Source organism: Homo sapiens, chromosome 19 (assembly GCF_000001405.40).
Source record: "Homo sapiens chromosome 19, GRCh38.p14 Primary Assembly".
NCBI classification, from domain to species: Eukaryota; Metazoa; Chordata; class Mammalia; order Primates; family Hominidae; genus Homo; species Homo sapiens.
Genome location: NC_000019.10, coordinates 43,645,752 through 43,646,094, shown reverse-complemented (window position 1 = coordinate 43,646,094; position 343 = coordinate 43,645,752).

The window sequence follows — 343 nt, the reverse complement described above, 5'->3', positions numbered from 1 at the left end:
TGTGGTGGGGCATGCCTGTGGTCCTAGTTACATGGGAGGCTGAGGCAGGAGGATCCCTTGAGCCCGGGAGGTCAAGGCTGCAGTGAGCCATGATCCCACCACTGTACTCCAGCCTGGGCAACAGAGCCAGACTCTGTCTCCAAAAAAAAAACACTAAAACCCAAAACCATATTACATATGTCCTGTAAATATACACCACTATTATGTATTCATAATACTTAAAAATAAAAAATTAAAAACACACACACACAAATCTTACAAGCAAGGTGGCTTAAAACCACAGAAACTTGGCCGGGTTTGGTGGCTCATGCCTGTAATCCCAGCAATTCGGGAGGCTGAGGCG